Genomic DNA, 13,379 nt, shown 5'->3' with positions numbered 1-13,379 from the left:
TATCAATAAAATTTGCATTAAAAATGTGTGAACACAAATGGCACACTCATCCCAGACAATTTTCTATAATCACCCACCACCTCTCCTATGAAGAATGGAGAATTTGTGAATGACTAAGAGCATTCTACTTGCATCTCTTAGTGTGGGGATGGGTTGGGAGGGAGGCATTACAAGAAATAAAAATTGCAGAGATATTATGTGACCAATCATATCACCTTCATTTATGAAGACCCTACTGTTAAAACTTTGTACATTGTCTAAGGTTCAGGAGAACAGATGTGGAAATGAGTGTCCAGGGCTGAGACAATGTTCACGAACTAAACTGGGAGTTAAAAGCTATTCGGGGAGACAGCAAGGGGCAAGTGAGACAAGAATGGATTTTGGCATTTTACAGATCTGAGGTCAAACTTCATCTCTTTTGCCCACTGACAGCACGAATCTCGGGTTCATCATCCACCAATATGGGGTAAAACCCTTGCAAGGTTTTTATAAGTGGTATTTTTATGGTTAAAGCTCCTGGAACATTCTCTGACACATAATAACTGATGGCCTCTTAAATAAATATTATAATTGGAGGGATGTTCTTTAAAATTGTACATATTTATCTGTACACTAGAATCCATCAGGAAGCATGTGGTATCTGTGATGTCTGGTATTCCCAGAACCATGTGCCGCCCTGCTGCTGATCATCCCAGTCTCTCTATGCATAGATACGAACAACAGGGCCAGCTGGGCCAGGAAACTCTTACCTACTAAATACAGTTAAAGTTTCGACTCCTTGACCCAAGTGGTCTCTTCCATTTTCTCTTCCAGGAATTTAAACCTCAAAGGAGGCAGCTGTCATCTCATAGCAGCTCACTGGAGTGTAAATCCATGACATCCAGCTGCTATGGTTGCTGGAGATTCCTAGAATTTTGTCACTACTGGGGTTTTTTTGCTCATCTCTTCTTCCAAATGTTGGGCAATTCCAGTATCCTTCCAACAAATCCTATATCTTGCTTAAGTTAGCAATGGTTTCTGTTACTTGCAACCAAAAACCTTTATGAATAGAAAGCCTTCAAAAGGCACCTGGAATCTGTTCCCCAGCTTTTGTTCTGTTTTGTTTTGCTTTTTGAGACGCAGTCTCATTCTGTCATCCAGGCTGGAGTGCAGTGGTGCAATCTTGGCTCACTGCAACCTCCACCTCCTAGGTTCAAGCAACTCTCCTGCGTCAGCTTCCTGAGTAGCTGGGACTACAGGTGCCCGCCACCATGGCTGCCTAACTTTTTGTATTTTTAGTAGAGATGAGGTTTCACCATGTTGGTCAGGCTGGTCTGGAACTCCTGACTTTGTGATCCGCCCGCCTTGGCCTCCCAAAGTGCTGGGATTACAGGCATGAGCCACCGCGCCCGGCCTATTCCCCAGTTTTTGTGTCCTCTGATCCCCACCAGAACCTAGATTCCTGACGGCCAACTGACCCTCATAAGGCTTATCTCAAGCACAGCTCCAGGGGAGCAGCACCTCATGACCACTCTCTTGTGGAACCACTCTCTAAGATCAGTGTTAATTGCCCAATTAAACAGCCCTGATGCTGACAGAATGTAAGCTCATTAGTAAGTGCCAGAGCACATTCCAATTATTAACCTTTATGGTCGTCATTATAAAGAGGAGGGAGCAACTATGGATTTCTGCATGAATGATTACGCTCATCACTCTGAGCCAGAAGGAAGAAAGATGGGTAGAGGGAAAGGTGGTATGCTGTGGGAGAGTTATCCAAAACAACTTTAGAAGCAAATGACATTTTAGAAGCAAAGATGGCCATAAAGTGCCTTGGATCAGTGGCACATCAGAATCAAGAGGGGAGTTCTTTAAAACTATAAGTTCATAGATCCTGACCCCAGAAGTTGATTCAGTGGGATTAGAATAAGGCCCAGGAAACTGACTTTTCTTAAATTTCCCAGGTGATTCTCATAATCCACGTGAATTGAAAATCACTTAGGCAAATATCCAAGGAAACTACTAGTCCCAAAATAGTCCCTCGGCCATAGATCTCACATGAAACATGAATGGTTGCCAAATCTGTAAGGCCAGGAAAGCATGCTTACCAACATGACAGCAAGAAAAAGGGGCTGCTGAGAACTGGAAGATCCAGATTGGGGTCCCAGATCTGAAATCACTGACCACAAACCCACTAGGGACCACAGATCTGTCTGCAAAATGGAATGTTCAATTACACAGGCCTTACATTCCTCCCAGAAATATTAGAACTGTCCCGTATTCATGTGGACAATGACTAAAAATAGTATACAAGTTTAAGAGAATAATAGCAGTGAAGGGGGGAATCTTTTACAAGATAAACCTTATGTATTGGAAGACAGCTCAGCTTTAGCTTTAACTTGGGCACAAAACATTTGGAAGCAACATTAAGATATAAAAAACTTCCTAAGTTCAGTGATTCTTATAAAGAAATCTCACAGACGTGTAACAGGGAGGAGACGTCTTTTACCAGTTTACATATTTTCACCCAAATAATGTCTAGGGCAGTGGTCTTACAAGGGAATTTGCCAGAAACCTCCTAATGACATTTATAGACTATGTCCAATAAAGTAATTGGCCACCAAACGATGAGAAAGTAACTATGAAAGTTTGACTACCTAATCTTTATAGTCATTATATATATAAGCAGGAATGGGGTATATCAAATCACTCTCCTATAAACTTGAAAATAGATAGGCTCTGTGTGAGTTGAATTTTTTTCTTTTTCTTTTGGCTTCAAACCACATTCCAAGGGCCCACCTATCACAGTTTTACACACATGGACATCTGGCAGGGAAATAAATTAAGGCCTACCTTAGAGAGCAAGGAAATGCATCCACCTATAAATGTTATTTTAGAAGAGACTGTCTGATCCTATTCACTTATCAACTGCATTAGAAGGCTAATGAATTGACTGCTGAGAAAATGAGAGAGAGCTCAGGCTGTGGACAGGGATGGGCAGAATTTCACACCTTTTATCCAAATGGCAGGGTTATTTAAGATTGTGATAAAATGGTGTTGCATTTGGAGGAAAGGGAATACAACATAAAATAACAATCCACAGACACAATCCATAGAAAAGTGTTACATTCTCTCAGCCACTGGCCAAAAATCAAGATTTATGCACGCTGCAGTCCTGCCTAGTGGAAGAAAAAAGAGGCATAAAAAGAAGCCCTCTTTCCCATAATAAATAGGAAAATATTAAATCTGTAATCCAGATCTACTTCTCCAGTGTTCTCATTTCTCAATTCTCTAGCAAAGTAAGATGTCTGAGGGCCCAATATTTAGAGCAAACTCATTTCTCATTCTATTTTTTTTTCTCAGAACAAAGACTTTCATAGATTGCATGATGCTCCCTATGTTTAATGAATTCAAACTAAGTAGTTTAGACAGGTGTTCTGGCTAATGTCTGCCAACTGGATAATATCCATCAGTGAACAGCAAGTTAGCAGAGTAAGTTATTTTATTGACACTTGGATTGCAACTTCACCAGCAGATTTTATGAAAGAAGGTGGTTGTGCTCAGAAGCAGTGCTGTTAGCTCAGGAAAGGTATCTTTTGGGTATCATAAATCCTGTGTGTGCTTCCTGTTTGACTTCCCAGTATGGCAGAGACTGTGGACTCAGAGTTGAAAGAGTTTCAAAAGATCATTTCGTCTAATACCTTTATTTGTGAAGAAACAGAAGGACGGCATGAGTAATCTGATTAATTAGTAACAGAGGTGGGCCTAGAACCCAAGCTTCCTCGGGTGAGTTCAGTGGTTCCCAATCCTACCTAGGATCAGAATCAACCAAGGAGCTTTTATTTTCTTTTTGAGACAGGGTCTCACTTTGTCACCCAGGTTGGAGTGCAGTAGCTGATCTCAGCTCACTGTAGCCTCGACCTCCTGAGGTTCAAGAGATCCTCCCGCCTCAGTCCCCCAGTAGCTGGGCCTACAGGCACATGCCGCCATGCCTGGCTAATTTTTTAACATTTTTTGTAGAAACGGGATTTTACCATGTTTCCCTGGCTGGTCTCGAACTCATGAGCTCAAGCCATCTGCTTGCCTCAGCCTCCCAAAATGCTAGGATTATAGGTGCGAGTCACCGCACCTGGCTGAAGCTTTTGAAATAATAAATTCCTGAGTAATGACCAGCCTTACTAAATTGAAATCTCTTGGGTAGGGCCCATAAATTTAGATGTTTAACACATTCCACAAGTAATTCTGAGGATGCAACAAGTTTGAGAAACATGCATGGCCCCACCCTGCCTTCCATGTTAATTATTTGGGAGATAGCAAAGCTCTTCAATGGGCTTAGGCCCTCCAAAAGTTATATGAAAAGGAAACCAATAAAGACCGAGTTAACACTGTGTTGAAGAAATTGAAAATCAGATTGTACTTTGTTTGCATCCTGTGCCCCAAATCAGCAGCAGCAGCAGCATCTGGTGTATGAAAACCAAGAAATACGTTAACTTTCACCTTTTGCCAAACACAGATGAGAACATAAAGGGGAAGACAGGAATATTCTCTCTCAAGTAGAAATGCACAATTTCCAGGCATGATGTGCCTAGGAGTCTAGATTTGTTCTGTACCCCATCCTCCTAAAGGTATTAGCACAGTTGTCATCTGGAGCCTGGCTGAGGCTGCTGAGCTAACAGGGTATGAACAAACCAGAATTATTATATTAAATACTGATTACATTGACAACTTTTGCATTCCATGCATTATTTCACTGAATTTCCACAAAACCTATATGAGATAGACTTTATTATCATTCTATTTTTATGGAAAAGTAAACTGAGGCTCAAAGAGATGAAAACATTGCTCAAGGTGTTATAGCTAGTAAGCAATAGAGCTCGGGTTCACATCCAGGCTGTTTGAATCCAAGACCTACCCCCTTTAAACACTATATATGCCACCCACTGTCACCAGGTGTTTCTAGGAACCATGGGAACTACCAATACCTGAAATAGTCTTTCCTTTTTTTTTTTTTTTTTTTTTTTTTTGAGATGGAGTCTCGCTCTGTTGCCTAGGCTGGAGTGCAGTGGCATCAACTCAGCTCACTACAACCTCCGCTTCCCGCGTTCAAGTGATTCTCCTGCCTCAGCCTCCCGAGTAGCTGGGATTACAGGCACCCACCACCACGCCTAGCTAATTTTTGTATTTTTTAGTAGAGACACGGTTTCACCATGTTGGCCAGGCTGGTCGTGAACCCCTGACCTCAGGTAATCCACCCGCCTGAGCCTCCCAAAGTGCTGGGATTTCAGGCATGAGCCACCAGGCCTGGCTGTTTTTCTTTTTAAGAAGCTCACACATCCCAATGGAAAAATAGGATATAATATATTAAATAGCAAAACAAAATATATTTGCCATATTGCTCTCTTCTCCGATTCATTCCTAGAATTGTTTTGTATTTTTTATGGAATGAAGTGGGGTGGTAATAATAAACATACAAGTATTTCTAGAGCACAGCCAGTCATTGCAAAATGCACTGTATTCTGTGGATATGTATATATTCTTGCATATGCCTGCTGTTGTTTCCCATGTACATTCATCTTATCTTCCAACCAAATGAAACATTCCTTGAGGATAGCAAGCATAACATACTTTGTATCTCCCAGCAATGAGCGCAGGGCTGCTTACATAATGGGTGCTCGATTAATATAGGTTCAGTTGAAAGTTCTGTGACCCATTCAGGAGTTTCCACCAGATTGATTACCACAGCAAACAAATAGGAGACCGTCCCAGTTTTAGACGGAGGATTTCACAGCTTATATCAGCCCAGCCTTCGGGACCTCACATATAAAGAGCCTAGCGAATGGGGTGGAAGGCTTTTAATTAACAGCCTAGCAAAAAATGTCATTCCAATCTGCAGTTTTGTTTCCACTAATTCACTCAGATTCAGCAGGAATTCCACCAAGGAATTGGGGTGAGCAGCTGTAGAGGGAGGGAAGTGCATAAATAAATCATGAGTGTCATTAAAATTTGTAAACTAATAACTTCTGGGAAGTCTTAGCAATTATTATCAGGGTTTTCTTGGCAAACAAAAAATTCATAAATTCAAAAGGTCTCCATTTTCTATTTTAAAAAAGCAGCATCCCCGAGAAAGGTCACTGACAGAACAATTAAGGAGGAAATAAGTGGTCCAGACAACAGCTTGTGAACCAGATGAAAAGTCACAGAATCCCCAAGTGGCAGGAGTATGAGACAACTCAATACATGGAAAGGGACACGGCAAGGCGGGGCTGGTGCTGGGATTGGTTTGGGGCTATTGAAAACTTTCGTCAGGTCTCCAAATCCTTATTTAGTATAGTTGAAATGCTAAGCATTGTCAATGATCCAGAAACAACTAAGGCACACGGTCCCTGCCCTTGAGAAGTTCACAGGCTAGGAACGAATCACCAGTATGGTGTAAGGATATAAAGCTACCCATAAGCAGAAGAGGAGCCTCCCACCCAGAAAGGAGGGTCATGAAAGGTCTCCAGCAGGAAGTGCCTGGGAATCCGTACTCTCCATATATATCATAATCAATTATGGTGCATCCTGAAGCCAGGCATACAGGAAGAATGGCTGTGCAGTCTGGTTGCTTTTCTAATAGTAGAATGGCTCCCATACTACTAGGGTGGGTGCAATAAAGCAAGGCTAAGGGTGGGTGCAATAAAGCAAGAGAGGAGAGAGGTGAAGAACCAAGGTCTACCAATTGAAGGGATCATTCTTTGCAAATGATTCCTGTTTCCTCTCATGCCTAGACAACTGCAAATTCATTTAGCTCTGTGAAGACCCTAGACCAGCAGCCAGAGGAGAGCTCCTGCAGAGACCTCACACCTGTGGACACCTTGCACCTGTGGGGACTGCATACCTGTGGTGACCTCACACCTGAAGTTCCTTTACCATGTATATTTTGTTCTGAAGCTGATCAGTCAGGGACCCTTGATGAACAGTCATGCTTAGGATGGACAGGCAGAAGCTGGAGAATTGCTTGCTAACTCATTTCCCTCCAGAAGGGGGTAACTTAAACTTCTTTAAAGTTTTTGTTTATCAGTCCAAGGGCTCATGTCCAAGACATACAGAAATGAGTCCAAGAAACGATCTGCCAATCAGAAACATAAATCCTCACCAGGACATATGTTCAAAAGTAAAGATTTAATAACCTCGAGCAGTGGATTAATTGGCACTATCAGAGTTTCCACTTCCAGAGAAAAGTGACATCCTTCCTCCCTAATTGAGGACCATGAATGCCACCAACTGAGGCAGAGACACACGCGCATCCACGAGTGCAGAGGGCATAAATATGGCACCAAAGCATGCACCATATGCAGTTCTCATGGAAATGAGAAAGATGTGGTCCTCCCTTTGAGTCCATAGCACCACCCTACCACATGACAATGGCCTACATTTGTTAGGAATGGAAGAGACATAAATAGGAGGGTTATGTCTGTCTAGCTGCAGACTTTCCATTTTTGAAGATGGATATATGACACTGTGGAAGGAGGCTCAGATGAAGAGCCAGGGAGTGCTCCTAATCTCAGCCTTATGACCCAGGTAACTCAGGGAAAGCCCTGGTTCCTTTAAACAAGTCAGTCCCCAACCTCATGAACTCTCTACACATGATATCTTATAGGTAAAGTGTTTTTTGACTAAGGGATACCAACAGATGGTTGTGCTAAACGACAAATTTACATAACTACTCTGGTGGTGGTGAAGAAATAACCTTGGCCACCACCAGTAGAAGAGCACCAAGGTATTCTGGAAAGAATGTCACAAGGGCACAAGATACTGCTACACAAATTAATGCTTTTAAACAATCTTTTGTCTATTTAGAAGTAGATGGCCTCTGAATTATTAATCCAGTAAGGCAGATAATTATATCACATTGCAACCTGACAGGGGGTGTCATCTTGTCATGACAGCTGCTGTTCCAGGCTTCTTGATGGTACAGAACACTGAAGAAGATCACTGAATTCAATTTCAACTTGGTTAAGCATGTTAGGCCGAATCATGAAGCTGAAAGGGTGCATGTTTAATTTAGTTTCTTTGGTCTGCACACTGTATTAGGAAGGGAAATCATACGGCTCTAGGCTCTAACTATAAAATACATCATTATCAGTACAGGAAAAGAGAACGGGAGATACAGATCTTTAGAAGATACGTGAGAAAGACAGTAAAAAGTTAGAAGACTCCCGATGAGGTCCCAGCAAACCGGGAAACCCCCAGAAAGTTTAGGAGCAGTCCCTTTCCTCAGTCACACTCTATCCAGTGGCTCCTAAGCTGGGGCTTTATCAGGTCCATGAACCTCCTGAAACCTAACACAAAAATATACTCATATATGATATTGGTCAACACGGAAAACCCATAATATTCACCAGCTTTCCAAATCCCCATAAGGTCACACCATATGGAATCTGTGATCTGTAAATTCGCTCTGAGTAACTCCCTTTGCTTGGGCCCCTTCTGTGAACCTGGTCAATCTCCACACCCTCCGGACCTGGTCCAGCACTCAGCTGCTCCCTGTGCCTCCCGTCTGGCTCCATTCTCTTCCGCAGACCAGCCTCACCTGGACTTTGCCCTGTGGTAGGGACATTTCTCCACTTGCCAAACTGCATCCCTCCCTTCATGCCACCACCCAGCTTGGAGAATCTTTTCTATAAAGAATATCTTTGACTAGACAGAAATTGGTATTTCAATTCCTCCCAACTAGCACAAGGGACAACATTCTAAATCACTCTTCTCCCCTCCCTAACCCCCAACCTTCAACCTCAAAGATCTCTGCTAATTCCTAGAGAATACAGACTACACCCGCTTGGTGTCTTATAAATTCCCTCACATGCACCTCTGCAGCAAGGAATCCTTAAAAACAAAGTCAACAATGGAATGAAAATGCTATCCAAACACAGGGCTATGACAATCATTAACAATTACAGTTAAGTAAGCACTTCCTACATGTGAGTTACTGGACTAAATGTTTTTATATTTGTTTCACTTAATCCTTAAAACAGCCCATTCATTAATTTATTCACTAAGTAAACATTTATTAAGCACCTCTTGTGTGCCAAATAATCTTCTAGATGCTGAGAATACAGCACTGAATTAAAGTGAAAAAAATTCCCTCTCTCTACAAGCTTAGATGTGAGTGGGTGTGGGAAGACAATAAACAAACCAGCAAGTAAACATTTAGCATATGCCAGCTGGTGATAAGGACCAAGAAAAAAAAATGTAGCCAAGTGATGGAATTTGGAATCCTGGGGAAGGACCTCATGATTAGGTGACCTATGACCAGAGAGAGGAAGGAAGTAAGGTGTCTGCCCTGTCACCTGGGAGCACTAGGCAGAGGGAAAATCTGAGTGTAAAGGCTCTCAGGAAAAGTGTGGTTGGTACGTTGGAGGAATAGCAAGTAAAATGAGGCTAGAGCAAAGACATGTTCTGTGCTAACCCCAATTTATATGCAGAGAAACAGACTTAGTGAAGTGGACTGAATGATAAACTCCCTTAAAAGATATGTCCCCATCCTAACTCCCAGAATCTATAATGGAACCTTATTTGATAAAAGATTCTTTGCAGATGTCATTAAGTTAAGGATCTCAAGATGAGGTCATCCTGGTTTATCCAGGAGAACCCTAGATCCTTCAGAAGGAACACAGCCCTGACGACACCTTGATTTCAGACTTCTGGGCTCCAGAACTGTGAGAGAAGACATTTCTGTTGCTTTAAGCCACTCAGTTTGTAGTAATTGTTATGGCAGCCCTGGGGAACTAATAGACAGAGATTAAGTAAAATGCCCAAAATAACACAGCTTGGTGGTGGACAAACTGGGACTTCAATCCTGGCAATTGAACACCAGGGTACCCTTACAGACACCAAACTATATAGTGTCTCTTGGTACATACTGATGAATACACTGACTCTTGAAATTGTGAGAAACACCCTTCATAACTTGAAGGCCTCTAGCATTAAGCAACTGGCCTAGGTTCCTATACTTGCCTAGCCTGCTCCTAGAAATAGCCAAACCTTTTCTGCAACATGGAGTAGCAGGAATAGCTGTTCTTCAATATAAAGATAGAATTTTCTGGCTTGTTTCATGATTTGACCAAGCAGACACCACAGGAATGAGGCTTAAAGTATCACACAGCATCATTGTGCTTGGGCTTGAAGGGAGGTTTCTGAGGTTCTAATTTCCTGGAAAGTACCGTGTGAGTGGAAATAGTCATGCTTTCATTTGTTCGAGGCATGCTAGTTACTTATACCTCTGCCAATTTTCACTGAGCAGCAAAATTAGGTTTTAGACATCCTGTGAAAATGGAGGCAGGCCTCAGTCGACATGAGCAATTAACCCCTAAATATTTAATAGATACTGCGACTGCTCCCTCTTTCCTGGAGAGAAGCTGCCTAGTTCTCTGCAAACAAACAGGTCAGATGAAGAAGCATTTCACACCCCAGTCCCCTCTGCTCCAAAACCCCAGGAAACCCTCAGGTCAGGACTTAGTAGGGATGATGATGCAGCCAGATGCATGGCTTTTTGTGACAGCTTCCTGCCCAGTATTGACACATCACAAGGTAAATGGGAGAAAACACACAACACCTCAAGTCTCATGGACCTAGCAGAGAGGGTGAAGCACCAAGTCCCAGTGACTGATAAGACCCGCTGTCGACCAGTGTGACTGCACGTCAATGTGGTCGTATGGATGTGCATATGTACGTGAGGAGGTATAGGCGTAAGTGTGTGTAACACACGGGCATTCCCTGTCCTGAGAAACTCCTGGTTTCATGGCTTTATTAAGGTTCTCTCTAACTTCACTCACCCACATCCCTCTTCTCCCTCGTCCTGTGTGCACAATCATTGTTAACAGGGCAAACTTATCCACTAGGCACAAGAGGTACAGCAGCTAGGCTCACAATAGTCTTAGAGGCCCCAAAAGTGTTTTATTTTAAAATCAAAAGAATAAACTGGGCTGAAACAAGTGTTTTAATATATGATATTAATGTAGTTGTCTTTATACCAACGCAGTGGTAAAACAGACCTTTTAATATTATTTTATGGGGCAAGGGGCCCCTGAAGGCAAAATTGCCTGGGGATCAGAACATCATCATGCAGACTTGTATCTGTATCTCTTCCCATGTGTATCTGTCCCCATGATACTGCCTTCTCAAGAACCACAGCATCTAGCAGATGCAAAGGGCTGGAGGCAGTCCTTTGGCCAAGACACACATCCAGGACAAGAATCTCTCCTACAGCAGGCTTCCTAATCAAGAACCTCTACTCGTGCATGTTTATCTGATCTCTCTAGCCAGGCCCCACCTTCTTCAAGTAGAATGAGACACTCCAAAAGCACAGAAGCAATGAGAGGGCCAAGGTGTATTTGCAACAGGTCCCAAAAGAGATAAGCAGAGCAGGAAAGGAATTCACAGGTGGGGGCCATCAGTTCCACCCAGAGCATTAACATGAGCTTCCAGGAAGAGGACTATCTTCTGCTCCTTCCAGTCCACACTTCCCAACTGCTTAGCTTGCGTTTCTCATGTGAGCCAAGCCAGGGTGGCTCCTTAAGAATCTCTAATCTGCTTACCTCCATAGTGAACTCTCAGTCACGCTGCCCAGGTTGAAGTCATACAGCTTCGTCAGGATAAGTATGACCTGCAAGGGGTTGGGGATAAGGGCAAAGGAGAGGAACAAAGGGAGGGAAAAAAGGAAGCTTACTTTAGTTTGTGTAACAATATATAATGCATCTCCTATCACCCAGAGGAGGGCTTAGTATTTATCCATTGAGTTGCGGGGTATTATAGGATTAAGCAAGGGGGAAAAAGTTATTAATTTAATGCATCCCTGTAACTGGTAGCATTTATTTTAATCCTGACAGTGCTTGCATTTGAAATAAAACATGCCAACAGGAATTAATTGGCTATTGACAGCTGTTTCTCCACATCTGTCCTCCTTCGAGGTCAGATGCAGGCCAGCTGGCTTTGTTCACCACCAAGGCCACCCAGAGATCAGATGATAGGCTTGCTTTTGATCCAGAGATGACTCTGATTTACAGAATTGGAACTAAAAGGGTAAAAGGGAAGTGGTCCTGATTCTGTCTGTAAAAGGGGTTCAAAGAGATTTTGTGTTTCCATCAACAGGGCCTTGGCAGGCATAAATACCTGAATGCAGACAGGCCTACTTCCCCAACATCCCCTGATACCATCTGCCTTCGACCATGTATCACCTGCCCCCACTACTATGGAGTAAGCAGATCATTGAACCCCACTGGACTCCATGACCACTTTCTTGACATCAGTTGATGTTAAGTAACCCAAAAGGAAGCTGGACGTATCAGAGAGCTGAGGCTACCAGTAATCCAGTTGGTGGTTTTCTTAACCAATCTTGGGCTGACCAGTCTGTTCCCATGCGCTTTCTCTAGCTGGGGACTTGGCTGTCAGATGTTGCCCTACCTGCCTCTCATGCATCCGGGCAGTGGCTTAGGCACAGCTCCACATTTAAAAGGATGCTAAGTGCGTGCACCTGAATCGATTTTAATCAAAACGCAGGTGCATAATACACATTGCCTGCCTGCACGCGTGATAATCCAGTTACACATAATTGTGTTTATCTAAATTTAATGCACAACTCATTTCACTTTTTTCAGCTCCTTCCCATTCCACAATTTAACTTCCTCCAGTTCATTTTCACAGCAACCATTAAATTCTTTCCGAGATAATGAATTTCTGCTACCGAGATGGGACTTTCCCATTCTAGGTATCCATTTAAGATTAAAGAAAAATAATCAGCCATTATATTGCACATTTTTATGGCACTTAACTAACAACAAAATGCTCACTTTGAGATTTATTCTCATCCAGCACTCTATGGGGTCAATCAGCCCCATTTCCATTTCTTCTATATAAACCAAGAAAAAAATTAAAGGCAAGGGATATGATCCATTATGTGCCAAAGGTGACGGGAATATTCAATTTCTCTGCGATGAGGAATGGCAGGTTGGCAAGAAACATCATCAATGGCATGGCCATTTGTAGAATAGTAGAATTTACCAAGCTACCTGTCCTACTACCTACCACAGCACAAATCAAAGAGTATGTATTAATAGCACACACCAGTGGCATGGCTATTTGTAGAACAGTAGACTCTACCAAGCTACCTGTCTTATTACCACAGCACAACAGCAAGGAGTGAGGAACCCATGCAAAGAATTGTTCTCTACAGTCACTTAGAGGTCTTTGCCCCTCCCATTCATAACTAGTTTCCTCATTTATTAAAGCCAGAGACTAACAGAGAAATAAACTTATCCATAGCCTCACCAAGTGTCTAGCAAGTTGCCAGATAATTTCTGTTTGTTGAATCAGTATATATGGTATACACACACACATACACACACACACACCTCAAAGTTCTTCTG

The 13,379-nt window shown here is 42.6% G+C and overlaps 1 protein-coding gene across 1 annotated transcript in view; it reads right to left on the bottom strand.

Moving 5' to 3' along the window:
- Nucleotides 1-13,379, bottom strand: part of SORCS3 (sortilin related VPS10 domain containing receptor 3) — a 623,953-nt gene that overhangs the window by 410,831 nt on the left and 199,743 nt on the right. The window contains exon 2 of the mRNA NM_014978.3: nt 11,553-11,620. Coding sequence (NP_055793.1) covers nt 11,553-11,620 — 68 coding nt within the window. The remainder of the gene's footprint in view (nt 1-11,552; nt 11,621-13,379) is intronic.

The sequence above is a fragment of the Homo sapiens genome, chromosome 10, assembly GCF_000001405.40.
Source record: "Homo sapiens chromosome 10, GRCh38.p14 Primary Assembly".
Classification (NCBI taxonomy): Eukaryota; Metazoa; Chordata; class Mammalia; order Primates; family Hominidae; genus Homo; species Homo sapiens.
The sequence above is the reverse complement of the archived record's forward strand: the minus strand, read 5'-3'. Positions and strand labels throughout refer to the sequence as shown.